The sequence below is a fragment of the Homo sapiens genome, chromosome 12 (assembly GCF_000001405.40).
Source record: "Homo sapiens chromosome 12, GRCh38.p14 Primary Assembly".
NCBI lineage: Eukaryota > Metazoa > Chordata > Mammalia > Primates > Hominidae > Homo > Homo sapiens.
The window spans coordinates 13,168,205-13,176,602 of NC_000012.12; the positions used below are offsets into that span (position 1 = coordinate 13,168,205).

Consider the following 8,398-nt stretch of genomic DNA (forward strand, 5'->3'; position numbering starts at 1 on the left):
TAGGAGGGTTACATATCTCATCTCTTACTTGTTATCTATTCTCTAATTTGTGTATTACATGTTTTGCCATTGTTCTTTGGGGTCTCCAGTCTTTTTCATGTTGATTTGCAGGAGTTTTTGCATATATTAGATATATAATTATCTATGTATGTAGATACTATAATTTTTCGGGTATTGTTCTTATCCAGTTTTGGAAGCGAGATTATACTTAATAGCCTTGTCAACTGATTACTTTTTTAATTTCTATAATGGTTATCTATGCAAACCTTCAATTTCTTCTTCTGCCAGTTTTGGTACTTTATAAATTCACTATAATGTGTCTAGGTGTGGACCATTCTCCCCATCTGTGTTGTACAACATTCCATAAGTCTTCCCAATTGAAGTCTCTCATTTTCTTTAATTCTAAGAAATAATATTTATTTCCTTAAGTATTTTCCCCTTTCATTTTTTTTGGTCTTTTTGGAGAGCATCTGCTGTATGGTTAGTGATTCTTTTACTTCTCTAAATCTAACTTCCACTTTTGCTTCTTTTTTAGAAAGAAATTAAAATTATATGGTATTTATTTATTTACTCTTAATAAAAATAAGTCTCATAGTATTCCCTTGTATGTATTTCACTTCTTCCTGGAGTACTTCTTCTAAGAGAATATTGAAAGAGGTTTTACGTGTGCCTGAGATAACATTAATTTGCCCCCAAATTTAAAGACAGTTTAATTGGAATTAAAATTCTAGGTTGAAGGTTTGTCTTTCAACACTGAAAAAATTATTCTATTACCCCACATCCAATGTTGATAGTAAGGATTCCTGGTTGTCCCCCAACACCTCCCACCCTGTCCCAGGGGATCTGAACCTTCTCTCTGGAAATCAAGAGAATGTGGAGAGGATCTTTGGAGGCTTAGTGATGGTGTGCTGTGTGGATTGCAGGAGTGGCAAAAGGACCAAGAGCTAATAGGGTGGGGTGGGCAGGGCAAGGCACAGGGAAGGAGATGTGCAGGCAGGAGGTGGCTGGCAAGGGCTGATTTTTCCTGCAGAAACCTGGAAGGTTACAAAATTCTCAATTTGGAGGACTCAAAAACTCTAGATTTGATGGTGAACAGGAGTGAGATGTGGGCTGAAACTCCCCACTTCTCTACCCTATCATGGGGGATGGATTGCTCCTCTGTAAAGAAACTGAACAACCTGCTCCTGGTGTGGGAGCTGATGCCACATCCAGGCTCCATTCCCACTGACCCTGTAGTGGAGCCGGGTAGTCTGCATGACCTCCAGTGTACTTTGAGTTCAGCCAGTTTTGCTTGCATCACCAACTGGTAGGCATTTGAAAGAAACTATGAAACACAATTAAGAAAAAGAGAAATGACTCCACAGGAAAACAAGTTAATTCAGGATACATGAGGAACTTGAAAGAAACTCAAATTTGTATATTCAGAGACATTTATGAAGATATCACATCAATTAAAAGAAAAGAATGCTATAAAAACAATAATTAAAAAGTTGGAGGATAAAATAGAGGAAAAGTAAAATAAAAAGACAGAGATTAAAAAAAAAATAAAAAAGAAAAGGACAAAAAAGGTAACACATAGACTAATCCAGGGAACCAACATCTAACTGATAGAAGCTCCAAAAAGAGATGAAGACAAACAGATGAGGGAAGGAATTACAGAAAAACATCACAAGAGAATTCCCCAGAGTTGAAGGACACAAAATTTAAGGAAGACATATTCACCTTGTGCTCACTACAATAAAGAAGAGTTGGCAAATGAAACAGCATAAAATTCAGGACACTAATACTGAAAAGAGAGTTCTTAAATGTTTTCTGAGAGAGAGAAATGGAGAAAAAATAATGCCAACCTACAAATAAATGAGCTCCAAAGTTTTCTAACAGCAGCACAGTTTGCTAGAAAACAGTTTTTAACTGCTTTAAATTATGAAGGAAAATGGTTTTCAACTAGAATCTTTATTTTTTTCTTCTTCTTATTAGATGAATATGCTTGTGTATCAACTAGAATTATATACTCCTCAAGAATATCTATGAAACTTGAAGGCAGAGGAAAAGACATTTTGAGACAGATAAGAAGTCAGAAGGCTTAACTTTACACACCTTTTTTTTGGAAGTCATTTGAAAACACACTCCTGCAAAATGAGAAAGTAGAACAAGCCAGAGGAAGACATAAAATTCCAGAAGCAGTGTATTCAACCTGGAATCATAGTGAAGAGTAACACACAATGACAGTTTTGCTGCAGGTCTGGAGAGACCAGTGACACCAGTATAGATTTTACAGCCTTTCAGGAAACACTAATTTGTGTCTTCAAATGTTTTTTGATGACATGTAAGCACAGAGACGTTAAATCAGTTGGCCAAGATCACTCAATGGTAAGCAGTAAGTTAGCGATCCGACTCAGCCTGTCAGGCTTTGGAGGCTGAGCTCTTACCTCTTACTATACAGTGCTTCTCCTGGTAACCTGCCTTAATGTTATTAACGGTTTCCATTAGGAAAATGAAAATAGTGATATGTTCCATGTATGCTAAACCCTCATTTATTATAGTCAGAATGCAAAAAAACGCTATGTAAAATTGCTAAATTAAGAAATAGCTTTATAGAAATCAAGAAACAGTTTTTAGAGAAATAAAAGTAATCACCAGGAGAGAAAACTCAAAGAGAATGCAAGGTGATTAGGTAGAGGGAGTGGGCAGGGGGAAGCGGAGAGGGAAGAGGAAGGGAAGAGACTGTTGCTTTGCATTTTAAATCCCCTGCACCTTAAAAAAATTAAATTATGTGCATGAATTACTTTGCAAAACTGTACATTTGTGTATCTTTTAAAAGGGTAAATAGGGCTTGTTTGGAAGATAAGCCAAAAGGGGAATGATAGTAATGTTCAAAGGGTGAGATGAGTTGGAAGTTCATGGCCTGATAGGGAGTGGTGTGATCTAGTGGCTGGACTCTAGGGAGGTTGTTTTGGCAGTGGGTGGGTGGGGGGAAGAGGGGGAGCGGCTGGAGGTGACTCTGGAAAAGTGGGCTAAGGCAAGGCTGTGGAAAGCATTGAATGCCATGCTAAGAAGTTTGGAATTTCCTCTGTTGACCATGGGGAACTATGAAAAAAAGTTTTGAGCAACATGATTCCATCTGTGTTTCAGAGGAATCATCCTTATGGCAAAATGTGGTAGGATTTGGAGTGTGGGAATGGCAGGAAGCGGGAAGGCCAGATCAGAGATGGTTACAAGCTTAAGGGACTCTTTAGGGTCCGAATTAAGGCTTTCAACCTCTGTAGAAAACTGAAGTTCCATAATTGCAACTTGAATCAAAACTCTTCTACCACTTTCCTCGCCCTCCTGTGGACTGGGGTGTCCTCTGCCCAGGAAGACACTGATGGGGCGGTAGGGTGGTGGTGGGTGGGCCACAGGGAACTGCCCACCCCTCCTCATTCAGGGGCCACTAGAACCTCCTGTCTGGTCCAAATCTCACTTCAGATTTTTAGAATCTTACTACAAACAATTTTTTGGCCACATTTCAAGACATGTCTTAGTTTTTAGCACAGGATTTTTACCAATCTCTCCCTAGCCCCCTCCACACCCTTTAATGATTCCCTTGGTTTTTATAAGTAGGTTTCCAGTTTTTTCCTCCTGCCTGCCAGCTCATCTAAGAAGTAGGATTTTTTTTCTCCTTTTTTATTATTGGTATTTAAAAAATAATAAAATGGAAAAAATGAATGTTTTTGCACTTCTGGCCTCTTGCTTTCGAGGTTCACACCCACTGGCGCCCTCCCTCTGAGGCTCACTAACATTCCACACTGCTGGGCGTGTGTCTGTGTGACTAGGATTCCTTGGCTGTTGTCTCCTGTCATCATAATTTCTCCCTTACCTCCTCACCTACTTGCATTCCTCCCTTTCTCCCACCCTCTGGTTGCCAGGCAACACAGCTGAGGGGCAGGAGGAGCTGGCAGGCAGTGCCCCCATGGAAATACTGGCTGCCTGTCTTCCTCTCCCAGCAGCTTGGCTGGGAGTTGGGCAATTGCTGAAGGTCAAAGGCAGCCATCCATAGTTGTGTCATTCCCTCCACTAGGTATAAACCTGACACAATCAGGGAAATACTTGAAGGTAGGGAATGGGGTAAAGTAAGGCAGTTAGTTTTCCCTTCACACCCAAGAGGCTGGCGTGACTCCTGCCTTCCGGCAGAAGAGGGTAAAGGTGGAGATGAATTGGCCTTTCTGCGTTTCAGAAATGTGAATTTCATTTCCTTCCACACCTCTCTGTCCAGTGGCTGGGCTTGAGAATTAGAGTCGACCCGGCAAAATGACAAATTCACTTGTTAGCAGAGGTTGAATTTTTTGAGTTGGGGCCCATTTCTCTAGTACCAAACATGATCTGGGGACTCGCAGCATGGACAGCCTCTGGGAGCTTGTTAGGAATGCAGACCTCAGTCCCATCCCAGACCACCGAAACAGAAGCTGTAGTTTTTCAGAATGACTGGGTAATTTGCATGCATGCTGATCAAATACTGTCGATTCGGTCTTGTGTTCTTGAGACTTCTTCCTTTCTCCTGCTCAGTGGGGCGTCATGGAGTCCTATGTTGGGGTCTTTCATGGGTTTACGGAGAGATGAGTGAGCAAATGCAGAGACTGTCTCAGCCTGACACAAACCCCTTCCCCTTTCTCCATCTATCCTTACCCTACACAGGTATGAGACAAGGCATGTCCAGATATGTTACCTCCCTTATCCTCACACACTCCTGTGTCTATTTTTAAACAACGAATCCCAATTTTATTGATGAAGAAATGACCTAGGTTGTTGAAACTTACAGAGCTTCAATGGACTCGCCCTGGTGATTACTGAACAGCTTGCTTTCACCTTCCTTTGGTATGTGTCCTAGGCTAGAAATTCTGTCCTTTTAAACACGTAGCTCCAAAGAGTCATTATTGAAAAAAAGCAATCAGAAACAGAATGTTGGGTTTGGTTTGAGTCATAAATTCCACCATGTAGGGATGAAATTAAGGACTTTTTCCTGAGCCTCTGCAAATGATTCCAGTAGTTCAGAGGCCCTTTTGAACAAGAGGTTACATGGATTGGGTTTCAAAGAAAAGAATGTCGAAAGACATCTTCCAGCTGAGAATGGGCTCCAGATGTGAGCATTGCTCTTCCAGATGTGTGGACGAATGGAGCGGGACTGAGATGCCTCACATGTCTGCAACATGAAATGGAAAATCCTCTCTCAGCCACAGGGGAAAGTAGGACAGGGGGAAGACAAATGGAATCCAAGTTAAACTCTTCAAGGTGGGGCCAGACTAACTCTAAGAAATCATTCCCAGGTGGGCTGATATTTTACGTATGCAGTATGTGTAGAGGCCACACCTCAAACTGTGCTGCTGAGCAGAAACTCAGAAGGTATTGTGTCTGCAGGAACTCACTCTTCTCAGACCTGCATAAATCTGATTCAGCCCCTTAGAGGAGCCTCACTGAGAACTGTTGAGACTACAGGCAGATCAAGCAGGACAGGCGGCGAGACTTACTCAGCGGAGCTGAGAACAGAGCCCAGAATGCGGAAGGGGAAGGAGCCAGGAGTCACACAGTCCTTTCTTTCTTCAGCTTCTGAATCAGCAACTCATTCTCTCGGGGATCGCTGGGTTTGTTTCTTTACAATGGCTAGAAGGTCCCATGTTTCTCAGATGAGTAAATTTGAAACCACAGAAAACTGAGGCCTTGTGGCCAAGTCCTCTTGGTTTGTCACATCTCTGAAAATCTGAGCCATTGTCAAACTCCTGGCTGCAGGGAATTAAACCCTTTATTTCCCTCTGCCAGCATCTTCACCTTCTCCAGGAAGATCTGCCAAAGGACTGCTCCAGGTGCAGGTCCACCCACCTCCCCACTTTCCCAAACCTTCCTCCTTTTCCATTTAGAGACTGTCCCTGAGTCCCAATTTCCATGTCACTCTGGAAGTGTGAAAGTGATCTTTATTCCCCATACCTTCTCTATTTTTAAGCAACACAGTTAACTCACTCTGTACTGGTTCAGCTGGTGAGGATCCATATTTTTATTTTCCCCTAAGAGTTCCCAGCCTCTAAACAATACATTCTGACAAAACAGGTTAATTTAAGTTGCTAATTATTTACATTATTAAAACATTATTACATTTGCACATGTAATAATGTCTACATACTGATTACACACACACACACACACACACACAAACCTAAACTGGCATAATCCCTGGTTAATATGCTAATAATAAAATTGATGATTACTAAGTTGAAAAAGTTAATTAGCTGTCTTCTGTTTTTGTATGTGGGGCCTAATCCTCCCTGTGATCTTGGGCCCAACACATTTCTCAAAGGCCACACCAGTCAGAAGGTAGATTTTCCAGTTGGAAGGTATTGAGAGCATTGCAGGGGTAAACCCAGTACCAGTCCACCCTGGGAGGACATATGTCATTATACTGAGAATCAAGTATCAGGAAGTATAGTATCATCATCATCATCATCATCAATCAATGACTAACTGTGAGTTTATTTCCTTTTGTTTTTATTTTTTAATTTTAATTTTATTTTTTTCTGAGACGGGGTCTCAGTCTGTTGCCCAGGCTGGAGTGCAGTGGCGTGATGTTGATTTACTGCAACCTCTGCCTCCTGGGTTCAAGCAATTATCCTGCCTCAGCCTCCCGAGTAGCTGGGACTACAGGCGTGCACCACCATGGCAGACTAATTTTTTATATTTTTAGTACAGACAGGATTTCACCACATTGGCCAGGCTGGTCTTGAACTCCAACTCCTGACCTCAAGTGATCTGCCCGCCTCAGCCTCCCAAAGTGCTGGAATTACAGGCATGAGCCACCGCACCCAGCCCATTTCCTTTTGTTTTTAATCAATTTAGAACTGAATTCTCAAGCTGCTGTTTGTTTTGATTCTAGGCATATTTTGATATTCCAGTTAGTACCCAATTCAGTTTATATATGTATAAAATTACACACCCTGCATCAAAAACATCTTTACATATTTTTATACTTAAACCCAGTTCAAATTGATTTAAGGCTTAGGAAAATAAGTTAGGTTTAGTTCAGTATGTGGTTTAGAAAATGTGTACACTTTATTCTGGCTTCCAACTAAAACTGTGGTGTGTTTCTTGCCTCTGAATTGGACAGATTTCTATGTTTGGCCTGTATTGTGGCAATGGTGTATTATTTTGTTCTTGTCAGTTGCATTCATCATTATTTTAAAAAGATTCCAGAAAGCCTGGTGTTACAGTTAGCCCACCTTGACCCTAAATGCTGCACTACTGCATTTTGACCAAGCATTGGGATCATAAAAATTATCCACCTTCTGTTTCTAGGCTTTCCCCACAGCTTGCAGCCCAGAGTCAGGAGAAATGGCGTTTTACTTCATGTGCTTCCCTAGAGTGAGCAGGGCTATCCAGACTGAAGGGAAATGGCATTTCTCCTTCTGCAACTCAGGACCCTACTGGATTAATTCTTGCCTAAGAGGGCATCTCAGCCATGTGTTCTCCAGCTCATTAATCCTCAGCAGTGACTAACGCTGAAAACCCAACCCTTGTCTTTGGCTGCCAAGGGTGTAATTTCGCTTGGAATGTTGCTTTCAGTTGACTTGTTCTCTACCTTTCTTTTCACCTGTCTGTTATGCTTAGCTCTACCCTCCTGCACGTGTTAATTCTAATCCTTTGGTGATCTAAACTAAAGAAAATGCCTCAGGAATAAACTTTTTATGGATAAGGTTTTTTTTGTGTGTGCTATGACACCTATACCTCTAATATTAGTTTAAATCTACCATTTCTCGAATGCCTATGTGCCAAGTAACTTACACGTATCACATTTGTTGTTACTAACAACCCAATATAGTGTTGTCCCCATTTTTTAGATGAGAAAACTGAGGCTCAGAGAGTCTGAATGCCTTGCCCAAGGCCCTGCAGCTAGAAATCAGATTAAACCTCGTCTGTCTGACTCCAAAGTTTGTGCTTCATGGACTTCCAGCTCTGGTTCATGTTACCCCAGTAGAGCCCTGTGACTTCAAGAATTTCTCAAATGTCCAAAGCAATCTATTTTAATTCACTTTATTAATAAAGATAATAATTCCTGTCTGTCTCACAGGTGGTATAATGAAGTGAAAGGAAGCAGAAGAGAGTGTTATAGTTGGAAAGGTGGGAAATCACCCCCTCCATGCTGAAGGGAAGATTTCAGGTTCCAAATGACACGTTTCCCTCAGAATGACTTTTGCTGTAGGTATGTGAACCTGCCACCACCCTTTGAATTTGGTGGATTGATTTAACGCTGTATCTGAACCTGACTGAGGAGATTCCTTCCTGGTTCATGACCCCGCTCTTGGAGATGCAGGATCTTGAACCGGAAGACTCTGAGTGACAGAATGAAGAGCTGGAGGAATCAGAGTGAGATACAAGAGGG

General features: G+C 41.5%; 2 annotated features.

Annotated features, from left to right (window-relative positions):
* Nucleotides 4,254-4,303: an enhancer, noted in NCBI's record as "active region_6032". NCBI's record gives its function as "activates an Ori minimal core promoter by ATAC-STARR-seq in GM12878 lymphoblastoid cells {active_cell/tissue: GM12878}" and the evidence as "EXISTENCE:reporter gene assay evidence [ECO:0000049][PMID:35858748]".
* Nucleotides 5,509-5,558: an enhancer, noted in NCBI's record as "active region_6033". NCBI's record gives its function as "activates an Ori minimal core promoter by ATAC-STARR-seq in GM12878 lymphoblastoid cells {active_cell/tissue: GM12878}" and the evidence as "EXISTENCE:reporter gene assay evidence [ECO:0000049][PMID:35858748]".